The following is a 15874-nucleotide window of genomic DNA, read 5'->3' on the forward strand; positions in this document are numbered from 1 at the left end:
GCCTCAGCCTCCCGAGTAGCTGGGACTACAGGCGCCCACCACCACACCTGGCTAATTTTTTGTATTTTTAGTAGAGATGGGGTTTTATGGTGTTAGCCAGGATGATCTCGATCTCCTGACCTCGTGATCCACCCACTTCAGCCTCCCAAAGTGCTGGGATTACAGGCGTGAGCCACTGCGCCCAGCATTTTTTTTTTTTTTCCCCCTTTGGAGACAGTGTCTCGCTCAGTAGCCCAGGCTGGAGTGCAGTGGCGCAGTCTTGGCTCACTGCAACCTCTGCCTCCTTGGTTCAAGCTATTCCCCTGCCTCAGCCTCCCTAGTAGCTGGAATTACAAGTGCACACCACCACGCCTGGCTAATTATTGTATTTTTAGTAGAAACCCGGTTTCCCCATGTTGACCAGGCTGGTCTCGAACTCCTGACCTTAGGTGATCCACCCATCTCAGCCTCCCAAAGTGCTGGGATTACAGGCTTGAGCCACGGCGCTCAGCCATCTCATTTCTTTATGGCGTTGAGTTTGCTTATATCAAAAAACCAAAAGAAAGTTGTCCAGATTCCTAACTCAGTCTGGCGTTTCAACTTTGCTGTTTAGCTGTATAGAAACCAAAACATTTCCTTATCTCCATTCCCAGCAGCCAAGTCTCAAGCAGTAGTATTGAAAGAAGTTCTCTGTCATTCCCCGATATGGAGCATAAGTTTGATTTACCATCAAATTACCCAACATCAACCTATACTTAGTCAACTGAGATTTAAACAGATAAAGGTTCCATTGCCCTATTTCAAAAAGCAAATGTTGCTGATCTGCACGCATTCAATCCTTTGCTATAAATGTTTCATGTCAATGCAAAACTCTTCATTCTAGATCTTTGATGTTTAGCAGGATCAGCTACTGAGCTGTATTTTCTTTTGTCCAACATTTTCTACTAGCAAATCAACAAAATAAGAGATTCATGAACCTCTCCTCCTCCCCCTCCTGCCCCAGCATTAGGTCTTACTTAAATTAAACATTTGGGCAGTATTTCGTTAGTTACCAGCTTTGAGGAGAAGTGGTAGTCACTTACATAAAGCAATTGTCTCTGAAAATGCATTCTTCTTGACAAATTAGCATAGCCTAATTCTCCATCCTAAGGGGGACTGTTTTACAAGTCTACATATAAAAGTACCTAAATGGTTGTCTTCTGAATCCCTCCCTAGTAGAAATTGAATTTGGCATCAGTGGAGCCAGTGACTGTACCTGGGATTCAGTGCATATAGAATTGCATTGACTGTGACCCTTTAGGCAAATGGATGTAAGACTTTGGCTCTTAGGATTTTCCCAAACACCAATAAGAGCATCTTGAAGAGAATCCATTTACTTTATGATATATAAGGATATTTCAGGTTTGATATTATGATCCTTATTAGGTCCAGTCTAGCTGAGCTGGACATGAATTGAAGAACCAGAATTAGAACTAGAAAATGAAACCCAGGCTGAGTGCGGTGGCTCACGCCTGTAATCCTAACACTTTTGGGAGGCCGAGGCAGGTGGATTGCTTGAGACCAGCCTGGGCAACATGACGAAATCCCATCTCTACAAAAATAGAAAAATTAGCCAGGCGTAGTGGCATGCATTTGTAGTCCCAGCTACTTGGGAGGCTGGGGTGGGAGAATCACCTGAGCCGGAGAGGTCAAGGCTGTGGTGAGCTGTGATCATGCCACTGCACTCCAGTCAGGGATTGAGAACCTATCTCAAAAAAAAAAAAAAAAAAAGAAGGAAAGAAAGAAAATGAATTAATAGGATCCATTTCCAAAGCATTAAAATTTAATATATACTTTATCAGGGTCTTCTGATATTCTTCAGAGGAGAATTGTTGTAAGTTAATTCAATAAACATTTGAATACCTGTTTTGTAGGTGTATGTTAAGTATGTATTAGAATCCTTGATCACCAGAGACTTGACGGTTTTTGCCTTGAAAGTTATTTCCTTCCGATCCATGTTGTTTAACAAATTCTAAGTGTGCACTATTTTTTTTATTTTAAATACAAGATTAATACTATAGTGCACTGTAGAAAATACCAAAATTCCAGATATTTATCCTACATATATGTATTGTTTACTATATGCAAGGGGCTCTTAGACCCCAGGGGAGCAGAGGGGCTGCCAGGGCATGATACCTGCCTTCAATATATTTCAGATCAGAACGGGCAGTAGAATGTACATAGATAACTATTTTGACCTCTATTGTGATACCTGTCATGTTGTACCTTGTACTATATAGTATTCTGATAGTTCAAAGGGACATTTGTGTGGAAGGATCATGTAATAATTATGGCAAAAGTTTTATAACACATTTTTCACCTCAAAAATGTTTTTAAACAAAACAAGTAAATTCGTGATCTATTTAATTTTTTTTTTTTTTTTTTTGAGATGGAGTCTTGCTCTGTCACCCAGGCTGGAGTGCAGTGGCACGATCTCAGCTCACTGCAACCTCCGCCTCCCAGGTTCAAGCAATTCTCCTGCTTCACCCTGCTGAGTAGCTGGCACTACAGGCACCCACTACCATGCCTGGCTAATTTTTGTATTTTTAGTGGAGACAGGGTTTCACCATATTGGCCATGCTGGTCTCGAACTCCTGACCTTGTGATCCTCCCACCTCCACCTCCCAAAGTGCTGGGAATTACAGGCATGAGCCACCGCACCTGGCCTAAAATTTTTTTTTACTAGGAAAAAGGCTTTAACTTTTTTTTGTTTGATCAGCTCATTTTACTGTTAGTATTGGTGCGTGAATTTTTTAGAACAAAGACATACTTAGTTCATCGTTACTTTAGACTCCCTTCTTCCATTTTTATTTCTGGCCTTGGTCCAAGCCTACCAGTCATTCTCTCACTTTGCTTCTGTAATGTAGACCTTCTTCCTGAGAAGCTGGCTAGATCAGGTAGTGATCATAACATTCCTAAACCAATAGTGCTGATAGCTCTGTGTACGGAGGGATATTTCATCTAAACCATTGCTCTAAACTTAGACTTGGCTCTGAGTCAGTAATACTTCTGTTTACTAGGTTTGAAATATCTCCCTCTTAGCTGGGCACAGTGGCACATGCTTGTGGTCCCAGCTACTAGGGAGGCTGAGGTGGGAGGATTGCTTGAGCCCAAGAGTTCAAGTCTGGCCTGGGCAACATCATGAGACCCTCGTCTTTTAAAAGAAGGAAAAGAAATATCTCCCTTTTAGAAGAAACCTAGAAGTCTCTATTTTGAGGCCACTTAAGATCTCTGAAATGATTTTAATGTTTTAGAGAATTGTTTATGGTATTACCTGACCTTTTTTTCTTGATTTGTTTTCTTTTTCTTTGTTATTATCCTATGTTTAAGGGAGAAAAATAATTTTAAATTGAGCGATTTCTTGGTATAATTCTTGCTAATTTTTAAATCTAATTTTTAGCTTAATTCTTAATTTAAACTAAAATTCTTAATTTTAATATAAGTGGTAAAAAAATACATCTACAAAGTTGTAAGTTCTCTCATTTATTTACCAACTGTAATATTTAGGAAATTAATGGTCAGAATTCAATAATTAAAACCAGATTCCTTCTGAAAACCAAGGAACATTATAATTATCTAGTATCTAATTGTATTTCACCCTTTTTTAAATCTTATGAACATCACTTACTTGCTTTTTTTTCTTCCATTCTTTGTAAAGCTTCTCTGCCTTGCTCTAAATCAGCAGTTTTCATGCAGCTGTTCCCTCATCAAGGTACTCTTTATTTTCATCATCTTTGCACGAAAATACTGCTTACCCCACACTCATCCTGGGCACATAGCATGAGACTTTACTCACCGGTCCCTGTAAGCTCAGTCTGCCTTAGGCACTTTAGGAACTTGTAAAGCCACCACTTTATAAGGTCTTGGTACTTAACAGGAATTGCACGGCCAGTGTGTGGCCTGTCTTGTTTAAGGAGCTGCTAATACCCACCCAGAACAATGAAGATGCAATCCCATACCTGGACTAACAAAGGCAGGTTAATAAGAAACTCAAGAGAGAGTTAATAGAGAAAGAGCAGAATACGTGGTTTGATGAAGTTTTTTTAGCTTAGAAAATAACTTGTTTTCCCCAAATAGAAAGCCAACCCCAGTGTTTCCTCAGAAATTAAAGCTGGCTGTCTATTCAATCACCTGTGGTTAAAAAAAGGAATATGGCCAGGTGCGATGGCTCACGCCTATAATCACAGCACTTTGGGAGGCCAAGGTGGGCGGATCACTTGAGTCCAGGAGTTGAAAACCAGCCTGGGTAACGTGGCAAAACCCTCTTTCTACAAAAAATACAAAAAGCTATTCACAGGACTGAGGTGGGGAGGTTGAGGCTTTGGTGAGCTGAGATCGCACCACCGCACTCCAGCCTGAGTGACAGAGCAATACTCTGTCTCACAAAAAAATTAAAAAAAAAAAATATATGGTCATTAGTTAGCTATAAGGACTAAGATGAAAAAATTTGACACATTTATGTCTAATTTATAAAAGATGCCTTTTCTTTTATTCACCTGTAATTAATATACAAAAAGATTACACCTAAACAGAAAAAGAAGTGCTAGCAGTTGGTGAACGTCATTTTTAAAAATTCTTTTTTCTTTTTGAGACGGAGTCTCTCTCTGTTGCCCAGGCTGGAGTACAGTGGTGTGATCTCAGCTTACTGCAACCTCCGCCTCCCCAGTTCAAGCGATTCTCCTGCCTCAGCCTCCTGAGTAGCTGGAATTACAGGCATGTTCCACCAAGCCTGGCTAATTTTTTTTGTATTTTCAGTAGAGACGAGGTTTCACCATTTTGGCCAGGCTGGTCTCGAACTCCTGACCTCAAAGATCTGCCTGCCTTGGCCTCCCAAAATGTTAGGATTACAGGCATGAGCCACAATACCAAGCCAAAAATTCTTATAGTTACAATTTTTTATATTTAGCTCAAAATAAAAATATTTCTAAGTATATATTTAATACGCCTCCATGAATGTATTTACTGTAGCTTAAAAATAGGCTGTAGCTACCTAAGAAGATTTATTCTATTTTGTGCTTATTTATATTAGCTTCACTCATTTTACAAATTCTAGCATAAAATTAAAGTCCTAGTATTTGTTCTAAAACTCCTTTGTATCACCTGGTCTTTTACTTCAGATATTAGGAGCATCTTAATTTGTGGAGTAATTATTTTATCTGTGTGCAAAAATTCTTCACATAGATTATTTTGTCTAACAACCCTTTGAAATAGACAAGTCTGCTGTTATCCTTAATTGCCAGATTAAGAATTACAACTAAATAAGAATATTGATCCAAACAAGTCTCAAACCTAGGTCTTCTGACATGTTTAAGTTCTCCTGTATGTAATAAGAGTTTTCTAATAAGTTTGCCATATTGTATATGAAATAAACTAAATGCAGAGTAAGGTAACCTACTAGTGCTCCTGCACAGGTGGCAGGAGATTTCAGTTTTTATTAGTCTGTCATTTTTGTAGTATAACTTCTCACAAATTACCTAACCCATTTTTCCTTAGCTTTTCAAGAGTTAAAAGCGATTCTGTTGTTTTATTATTTCATGATACTATTATAACTGATTATTTCAGTTTGGGAAACCAAAAGTGTTTTTTAAAAATGAGTGACTAAAAAATTGTCAGGCTGGAGCTACATCACTAGTTGTAAAAATACACAAACCTTGATACCTGCCTTCAAGGAACTCATGTTCTAGCAGGGAAGATAGACATCTAACTTAAATAACAATAATGTAATCTAATCCTTTTCCCCAGCTACTCAAATTCACTGAATTTTGGCCAATAACACCTTCTAGTTAGGATTTTGTCTTTATCTGGAACCACCACAATTTATTGAAACATAGTACTGCTGATATACTGCTGTACAGAATGTCCAGCTGTTTCTGCTCTGCATGTTTGTAATTGGCTGCATGTTTGACCACAGCATATCTGTGGGGTCATTTAAGCTGGCAAATCAGGACCACAGAAGTTTTAGCTTTATTTCCTTTGTGTGGTAGCCTCTGGGTTTCTGTCAGTCACTTTGTAGTTTTGTCTGTTTGTTGTCCACCAAAGGCCAGAAAGGAGAGCCAATGCTTTAGGGGCAAAAGAGATACCAGAATACAAAACTTTAAAGGGGTTTTGATGAAAAGAAGTGCAGCACCAAGGCCTTCTCACTAACTTAAAATATGGCATATAGCAATACAGGATGTGTTCTGTCTGCATTGGAGTGGTCTATCAGATAATCTGAGAGTTTTTCCTATGGGATATTGAGGTGAAATCCTTCACCAGTTCCTAGAGAGATTTCTAGATTTAATTTTAGAGGATAAAAAGAAAGAATGCTGCCAAAATTCTTAGAAGTGAGAATTATGCTGAGAAACTTAAATGCCAGAACTAGATACTATGATCATTCTGTTTCATACTACCTTGGCTTTTTCAAGATATATTTTGGTGTAAACGTAATGCATTTTAATTGTTTTTTTTTAATGACTTTCCAAGATTTTTGTTAGTTTCTCCTTTGATCCTTACAGTAAAACATCTTTGCTGTGAAGTTGAACTTAGGAATCACAGTCACACCACATTTACCTATGTGTGATTTATACAGTTGGGTCACTAAGTAGGAAGAAAACATACATTCCAAAAACAAGAATTTAGATGAAAAATGAATTTGAGAAAAGAAGTAGAATATCAACTTTTGACATAGTGTTGAAGCTTTTGGTTATGAGGGATGGGGCTGACAAGTCACTCGTACTTTTACATTTTTAATTAATGTGCTCATTAGGAAAAAAATTGGAAAATTCAGAAAAATAAAAGGAAAAAGTTACCCACAATCCTATCATTCTAAGATAGATAACCACTGTTTATTAACATTTTGGTGCATTTCCTTCCAGTTTCTTTTTTTTATATACTTGAGGTCATAGTATGTGAACAACTTTATAGCTTGTTTTGTACCCTCAACATTTAACAGGAGATAAATAAGGCCTTTAAAATTATTTGAGGTTTGACGGTTATTTGCTTCACAAAACAGAAAGTGGAATGTTCTTAGCACTTTTTTGAAGATACCTTCACCCTAGTGACTTCATCTACATTACTACAATTTATGTAATTGTAATTCTCAGGAATAACACTGTGCCCAAACAGAAGCATTGCCACCCATGTCATGACTGTTTTCCCCTCAGAGTAGGCCATGGTCTAGTAGTAGCAAGACACACAAGAACGAGCCCCAGGGTAGCAGATTGCTGGCAGAGAGTCACAGGGCCTTCCTAGTGGTCATCCATGCTTCATGCCCCTCCTGCATGCGGGCCAGCTCCAAGTTGTTTCAAACCTTTGTCTTTTTAAGGTCCTAGTTTTGCCTGAATCTTATTTTCTATTAAAGAAACAACTCAGAATTACTGGACTTGAAACTTGTAGGCCAAATGCAAATTTGAGGAAATGGAAGGTCAAATACGCTGACAAATTCATAATTTTAAGTGGAGGATGCCAAAGGGAAAAAAAAAAGTTCTATCTTTTCAACTAAAAATATTATACCACTCTCTGGAGATCAGGGATTGCATGCTTTGGGGCTCTGAATTACAGGTATCTAGCTATCACATTTTAAAATGGAAGTGTTCAGTTCATTCAGTATTAATTGAAAATAATTTTTCAATGTATTGAAAAAATAACTAGATTTTACAGGAAAACAAAAATGAATAATAATGATCTTTACCCTTCTCAGTGCCTTTACTCAGTAGAGGAAGATGGATGTACAAGTTGTAGAATCATAGGCAAGTTAATTTAAAAGCAAGGAAGGAGAAAGTAGTTCTGGCAAGAGACAGAATAATGCATCATGAAGGAAAAGGATATGAGAAAAAAAAATATGGGTTGAATTTTATCTTGTAGAGATACGCAAGACAATTAAAAGAGCCTACACAAACATACATCCCAAAGAAGCTCAAGGCACATTCCAGAGATCATGAGCAGCTTTCTTTCAGTTTTGTTATTTCTTTTGTAAATAGCTCTGGAGAGGATGCAAATAAATATACAGAAGAGAATTTAAATAGACCAGAATTCTGTTACCCAGAGAAAAGTTCCATGAATGTTTCTAGTCATCTTTCTATGCATATGATTAGATTAGATTAGATTAGAACATGACTAGCCTTAAAAAATTTAATAAGGGTTTTAAAAAAGATTTGAATAGAACAGATTTTCAGTGGTGGTTCAGCTATGCTCACCTCCTGGAGAAATGTCGCTGATGTTTTTCCTTGCACTCATATGCCTGATGCAGTGCACATGTTCATAAACAGTCACTGACAAATGCCCATGTTCCTTTGACAGCAGTTCAGATTTTCAAGACAGCAAATCTCTGTTGAGCACGTGTAAACCAGGCCACGTGCTTACAGATGCCTGATACTCTTGAGTCGAATTCAGAGCTGAATCCAAATGAAAGATGAGTGGCTCCTAGAGGGAGGTCATCCCAAGTTCATTTCCTGTTCATGAGCCAACAAATAACTAACTGGGTAGATCTATGTACATTTTCTGTAACATAATGAATACTTCTTGACTTGAAATATTACTTTTTGTCCAAAAATGGAAATTTTTCTATTCTAAGATTTAAAATTTCAATATATAAAGAAGAATAAAGTACAAATTAGCTGAAATCTTGCCATACAGAGGTAAAATATATTTTTTAGTCCTTTGGCTTCTGACAGAGATAAAATATTTTGGCAGATGTTTACCCAGCCCTACGCCCTCTCCCCACAGTGTGTGGGTGTTTTTTTCCTACTCCAAAAATTGTGGTCATCTTTTTGTATCAGTAAATATCAATCAGTAATGTACATTTTGATACAAATTACTAAAACGTTCTGCAGCTGTTTGCTTTCCCGCCAAAATTTATGCCAGCAGTAAGTATAATCAGTCTAATTTTGGGGGTAAATTTTATTGATGTTTAACAGAAAAGTTCACAAATTGCAAGTTTTCAGCTTAGTGAACTTTTAAAATGTAAACACACTTGAAAATCCATCATCTACATCAAGAAACAGAACATTACCAGCATCCCAAGAAGCCATCCTCATGCCCCCTTAAGTCACTACTTCCGCAAGGGTGACCACAGTCCTGTTACCCAATTTGTAATCTTTCCTAATGTGATAGATAAAAATAAAAATCTTATTTTAGTTTCTGGTTACTTTTCTGAAGTTACTGCTTAGATTATTTATAATATTAATTGGGGTGGGGTGCAGTGGCTCATGCTTGTAATCCCAGAACTTTGAGAGGCCAAGATGGAAGGATTGCTTGAGACCAGGAGTTCAAGACCAGCCTTGGCAACATAGTGAGACTCTATCTCTAGACAGAATTTTAAAATTAGCTGGGCATGGTGGCATGCACCTGTAGTCCTAGCTGTTTGGGAGGCTGAGGCGAGAGGATAGCTTGAGCCTGGAAGTTCAAGGTTATAGTGAGCTATGATCACACCACTGCACTGCAGCCTGTGCAACAGGGCAAGACCCTGTCTCTAAATAAATAATCAATCATTGTTAGGCCCAGGTTTTGGAGGTTTAATCTCCTCCTCAAGAGAAATAAATGGCATCTGTTTAAGGTTGCAGAATGTGAAATGACTTGGCATAGCTGAAAAGAAGCAAAGATTCTACAGTATGACCTTTGTGATATATTATTTTCTCAGTAAATAGTTTCTTTGGGATAGGCACTGTGATTAAAAAAATAAAAGCATCTTGAGTTTTCTTTGAAGTGACAAATTTGCTGGAAAGATCAGTACTTTCTGCTGCTGGAGAGTATATTCTGTTTATAAACATGAATGAGGATGTGAATAAGGCTAGAAGATGACCTCTGCTGGAAGTTTCTGGTATGATTTGGAGGAAGGAGCACTAGTCTTCCCTGGTGGCTGCTAGCCTTTCATTTAGTTCAAGCCTGCCAGCCTCTAGCTTTTCCTTGCAACTTGTCTTTTCATTTTTCTTGTGCTATTTTCTGCTATGATAGCAAACTTTGCATAACAAAATGTGAAGTTTTCCATGTGACATTAACTTAGTAAACATTTTAGCAATTGACTATTAAAATGAAATGTGCATAAACAATTTGCCAGGTTGTATCTTATCACAAATATAGTCATGTGCTGCATAACAACATTGCAGTCAACAACAGAACACATATAGACAGTGGTCCCGAAAGATTATAATACTGTATTTTTACTGTACCTTTTCTGTGTTAGATATACAAATAGTTAGCATTGTGTTACAACTACATAAAGTACACAATATGGTAACCTGCTGTACAGGTTTGTTGCCTGGGAGAAACAGGCTATACCATATAGCCTTGGTGTGTAGTAGGCTATGCTATCTAAGTTCATGTAAGTACACTCCACAATATTTGCACAGACAAAATCGCCTAATGATTGTTTCCTAGAATGTGTCCCCGTTGTTAAGCGACACATGACTGCAATGAAATTCAGTCCTGGAAGGAAAAGAAGAAGTAACTGGCTGTTCTCTTTTTCTCCAGGAATCGACAAGGAGAACGTTGAACTCTCCCCTACCACTGGCCACTGTAACAGTGGACGAACTCGCCACGGATCCGCAAGCCAAGTGCAGAAGCAAAGAAGCGCTGGCAGTTTCAAACGTAATAGCATTAAGAAGATCGTGTGAAGCTTGCTTGCTTTCTTTTTTAAAATCAACTTAACATGGGCTCTTCACTAGTGACCCCTTCCCTGTCCTTGCCCTTTCCCCCCATGTTGTAATGCTGCACTTCCTGTTTTATAATGAACCCATCCGGTTTGCCATGTTGCCAGATGATCAACTCTTCGAAGCCTTGCCTAAATTTAATGCTGCCTTTTCTTTAACTTTTTTTCTTCTACTTTTGGCGTGTATCTGGTATATGTAAGTGTTCAGAACAACTGCAAAGAAAGTGGGAGGTCAGGAAACTTTTAACTGAGAAATCTCAATTGTAAGAGAGGATGAATTCTTGAATACTGCTACTACTGGCCAGTGATGAAAGCCATTTGCACAGAGCTCTGCCTTCTGTGGTTTTCCCTTCTTCATCCTACAGAGTAAAGTGTTAGTCCTATTTATACATTTTTCAAGATACAAGTTTATGAGAGAAATAGTATTATAACCCCAGTATGTTTAATCTTTTAGCTGTGGACTTTTTTTTTAACCGTACAAAACTGAAAGAACCATAGAGGTCAAGCCTCAGTGACTTGACACCATAAAGCCACAGACAAGGTACTTGGGGGGGAGGGCAGGGAAATTTCATATTTTATAGTGGATTCTTAAGAAATACTAACACTTGAGTATTAGCAATAATTACAGGAAAATAAGTGCGACCACATATATCTTAACATTACTGAATTAAAACTATGGCTTCTAAGTCCTTATCCAAACTCAGTCATCCAAACTAGTTTATTTTTTTCTCCAGTTGATTATCTTTTAATTTTTAATTTTGCTAAAGGTGGTTTTTTTGTGTTTTGTTTTTTGTAAACCAAAACTATACTAAGTATAGTAATTATATATATATATATATTTTTTCCCCTCCCCCTCTTCTTTCCTAACTAATTCTGAGCAGGGTAATCAGTGAACAAAGTGTTGAAAATTGTTCCCAGAAGGTAATTTTCATAGATGTTTGCATTAGCTCCATAGCAAAATGGAATGGTACGTGACATTTAGGGTAGCTGATATTTTTATTTTGTTAAATAATTTCCAAGAATAGAGTATGGTGTATATTATAAATTTCTTTGATAAGATGTATTTTGAATGTCTTTTAATCTTCCTCCTCCTCTCCAAAAAAATCAGAAACCTCTTTAAGAAAACATGTAGGTTATATATGCTAGAATTGCATTTAATCACTGTGAAAAGACTGGTCAGCCTGCATTAGTATGACAGTAGGGGGGCTGTTAGAATTGCTGCTATACTGGTGGTATGGATTATCATGGCATTGGAATTTTCATAGTAATGCAGATCCAATTTCTTTGTGGTACCTGCAGTTTACAAAATAATTTGACTTCAGTGAGCATATTGGTATCTGGATGTTCCAATTTAGAACTAAACCATATTTATTACAAAAAGATATTAATCCCTCTACTCCCAGGTTCCCTTTATATGTTAAGATATAATGGCTTTGAGGGGGGAAAAAATAAACCTAGGGGAGAGGGGAGTTTCCTGTAGTGCTGTTTCATTAGAGGATTTCAGTAAATTAAATTCCACAGCTAATTCAATAAATAATGGTACATTTAAGTGTTCTGATTTTAATAATATATTTCACATTTATCCACACAGTAACAATGTAATATGTTAATGTAAATAAAATTGGTTTTGATACTCAGAAATAACAAGAATTTAATTTTTTAAATTTGTTTACAGTCCTGGGAAAAGTAAGAATTATTTGCCAAAATAAGAGGAAAGAAAACCTTAGTATTATTAATGAGTTTACCATAGAATTGTTGGAAATACTGAAGACAGGTGCAATTTACTAAACTTTTGTTTTTAAACTATTGTAGAGGCTGCATTAGAAGAAAATGTTTATAATGACAGAGCAACTATGACTATATAAAAAAGCTGAAATTAGAACTGTGTTTAGAAATAGATCAGTAACCCAGTGCCAAGGATGCCAAGCTGCCACCATGGTCTTGGCTCTCCCACAACCCAGTGTTTCTGGGGTAAGTTTCACAGTTTCTAGGCCCTGGAATAGCAGGCAGTGTAAGCCTTTGATAACTTTAGTTCGATGTTTTTCTTGTTTTTGTTTGTTGGTTTGGTGCATATGATAGTGGGTGTTATGCTATTTTGCTCTTCCCATCAAAATAAAGAAACTTCCAGAGGTTTACTGTTAAAAATACTGATATTTCCATAAACGGGTTTACCAAGGGTGTAGTATTTCATACCGCCTGAAATGATCAGCATTGGCACAAATCAAAATTCAGCCGCCTTTGAAATGCAAAAATACCTTTGACTAGTAAGTACATCCTAGGAGTTTGAAAACTTAACTAAGGTTTAAAATTTACCTTGTTTAAAGAACTTCTGACTTTTGAGGAAAATCTAGCTTTCCAAGTAACTAAAATGTACATGAGATAAACCTCTCACCACTATGTGTCCCTTGAGAAATGCAACACTTTTTTAGTCTTCATACTTGTAATCTATAAAAGAAATTCTGAAGTTTAGACCAAGTTGCCCATTTCTGCGTAATTGACATAAGTTCTGTTAAAAATATTATAAGTAATTCGTTTCGGTTTGTAGATGTTTCCCCTGACTTGTTAAAGAGGAAACCAGGAACTCAGTCATGTTTTTGTCCTGGATAATCTACCTGTTATGCCAGTACTCCCATCCGAGGGGCATGCCCTTAGTTGCCCAGATGGAGATGCAGTTCAGTAGATTTGGGGCAAAGTGGCTACAGCTCTGTCTTCCATTCACTCAACACCTGTTCATGACTGAGCCAGGTGCCCAGGACACATCCTAAACAGTCAGCTTCTATCCTGTGTCCTAGTTGGGGAGACAGAGTGCCAGCCAGCAACCCTCCCAGGTTTGTAGGTTTTAGGGGTTTTCAGTTTTGTTTGGGTTTTTTGTTTTTTGTTTTTGTTTCTACATCCTTCCCCGACTCCCAGGCATAATGAGGCATGTCTTACTCAATGTTATGCAATGGATTTAGGCAAAAATTCATTCTTAGTGTCAGCCACACAATTTTTTTTAATGCAGTATATTCACCTGTAAATAGTTTGTGTAAAATTTGACAAAAAAAGTATATTTACTATACTGTAAATATATGTGATGATATATTGTATTATTTTGCTTTTTTGTAAAGCAGTTAGTTGCTGCACATGGATAACAACAAAAATTTGATTATTCTCGTGTTAGTATTGTTAACTTCTTTTTGCGACTGCGTTACATCATTTAAAGAAAATGCTGTGTATTGTAAACTTAAATTGTATATGATAACTTACTGTCCTTTCCATCCGGGCCTAAACTTTGGCAGTTCCTTTGTCTACAACCTTGTTAATACTGTAAACAGTTGTACGCCAGCAGGAAAAATACTGCCCAACAGACAAAATCGATCATTGTAGGGGAAAATCATAGAAATCCATTTCAGATCTTTATTGTTCCTCACCCCATTTTCCTCCTTGTGTATGTACTTCCCCCACCCCCCTTTTTTTAAGTAAAATGTAAATTCAATCTGCTCTAAGATATGAGGAGTTATTTAATTTCTTCAGATGTATCGAGCTCTGTTTTCTTCCCCCCGAGTCCTCCCAATCTTTTGAAACATTAAGGCCATTTTCCTTAAGGATGTTTTTGGCTCTCCTACTCCCCGTGAGAAAGATCTTTCCATTTCCAGAACTTCTCCACACTAAAAGTGAAATATTTTTGTGAAATGCTTTTTTAGGGCCTGCCAAACTCAGGTGAGTCTGTTCTCTGGGATAAGCTGGCTTCTCTTAAAATGAAGCCAGTCAGAAATGTCAGGGCATCCCAAGATTGACCAGTCAGAGGGCAGTTCTCTCCAACTTTTCAGCTTTCCCGCTATAGAATCTTCTGTGACACTACACGTGTATACAATGTAAACCACCTCCCCTGGCTCAGCTGCCCCGTGTTACTATTTTACTTACTTGATTATGTGGGTTGCCTCCCCCAATCAGTGGAGAAAGAACACAGCCCAGACCCAGTGGACAGGACAGAGCTATCCTCAGAAGGGTAACAGTGTCTGATATTGAACAAAGGACTAAAAAAGACCAGGTGATAGATACCTGCAGGTCTGAGGCAAGTACTTGTCTGTTTATGGGCAGGCCTGGAAAGCAGGGGTACCTCACCTGGAGAGCTTGCTAATACACTGGTCCCCATCCTAATCCCCCAAGGTAAAGGCAAACTCTCCAAGGATGGGCTGTTGGGAGAAAGAGTGTGTGTTTAAACTTCTTAAGCGATTTTACGGAGCACTCAGTGGTTTAAAGACCATTGGAGTAGAGAACTGAAAACTCAAATACTGCAAATAGCTGCCTTTTCCCTGTAACCTAAAGCATCTTAGTCCAAACTAGGGGATGTTTTTAGGATAGTGACCCTCTAGATCAGAGCTCTCCCTTCCTGGACAACAAGCTCCCTGAGGACGTGGGCGACTTAGTACATCTTGTATGGGCCTCTCTGCCTGTTCTTTGCTTTGCTTTCTGGGACACCCTTAGGCTAGTCTAGCAATTCTGAACTGCCTGGCTTGAAGAGTTGATTCCCATGGGATGTTGAGGAGGGGCCAGAGGTTCTGGAAGAATAGTAAAAAACCTACAACCAAGTGGTAGCATCTCAGTATTCCTCTTCCACAAAGTAGCCCATCCCCCCCCATCACCAAGGGAAGCCCCTAGTGGTGGCAGGCATCTTGGGAATTTACCTTCATTACTAATTCTCCCTTGTCTACCAGTAGCACTTCTTAACCTGCTCACTGCCCATCAGAACAGCCTCTGACAAAGCTGCATCCAAATTCTTTAAAGGGCAATTCATTGCCCCAAGTAATCTGCCAAACCTGTCTTCATTTGGAAATCAGTCTTCATATTCAGGTGAGTTCCACTTAAGACCCTTTTAGCTGCCAATTTAAAAGAAGCCCTTTTGCAATGTTGATTATGTTTCTATAAATATTAGAACCAGCCGGGCGCGGTGGCTCACGCGTGTAATCCCAACACTGGAAGGCCAAGGCAGGCGGATCACTTGAAGTCGGGAGTTTGGGAAACATGGTGAAACCCCATCTCTACTAAAAATACAAAAATTAGCCGGCCATGGTGGCTTATGCCTATAGTCCCAGCTACCAGGAGGCTGAAGCAAGAGAATCACTTGAACCCGGGAGGTGGAGGTTTCAGTGAGCTGAGATTGCACTTCTGCACTACAGCCTGGGAGGTAGAGCCAGACATTGTCTTAAAAAAAAAAAAAAAAAAAAAAAAAATAGAACCATACTACAGCAG

The 15874-nt window shown here is 38.2% G+C and overlaps 1 protein-coding gene across 2 annotated transcripts in view, besides 1 other annotated feature; it reads left to right on the forward strand.

Moving 5' to 3' along the window:
- Positions 1-14127, forward strand: part of NF1 (neurofibromin 1) — a 282699-nt gene extending 268572 nt beyond the window's left edge. For both annotated transcript variants that reach the window (NM_001042492.3, NM_000267.4), the window contains one exon: positions 10465-14127. In NM_001042492.3, coding sequence (NP_001035957.1) covers positions 10465-10607 — 143 coding nt within the window. In that variant the 3' untranslated portion in view covers positions 10608-14127. The remainder of the gene's footprint in view (positions 1-10464) is intronic.
- Positions 8163-8457: a silencer, noted in NCBI's record as "tiled region #6872; HepG2 Repressive non-DNase unmatched - State 15:Elon". NCBI's record gives its function as "represses a minimal TATA promoter and a strong SV40 promoter by Sharpr-MPRA in HepG2 cells {active_cell/tissue: HepG2}" and the evidence as "EXISTENCE:reporter gene assay evidence [ECO:0000049][PMID:27701403]".

Source organism: Homo sapiens, chromosome 17, assembly GCF_000001405.40.
Source record: "Homo sapiens chromosome 17, GRCh38.p14 Primary Assembly".
NCBI lineage: Eukaryota > Metazoa > Chordata > Mammalia > Primates > Hominidae > Homo > Homo sapiens.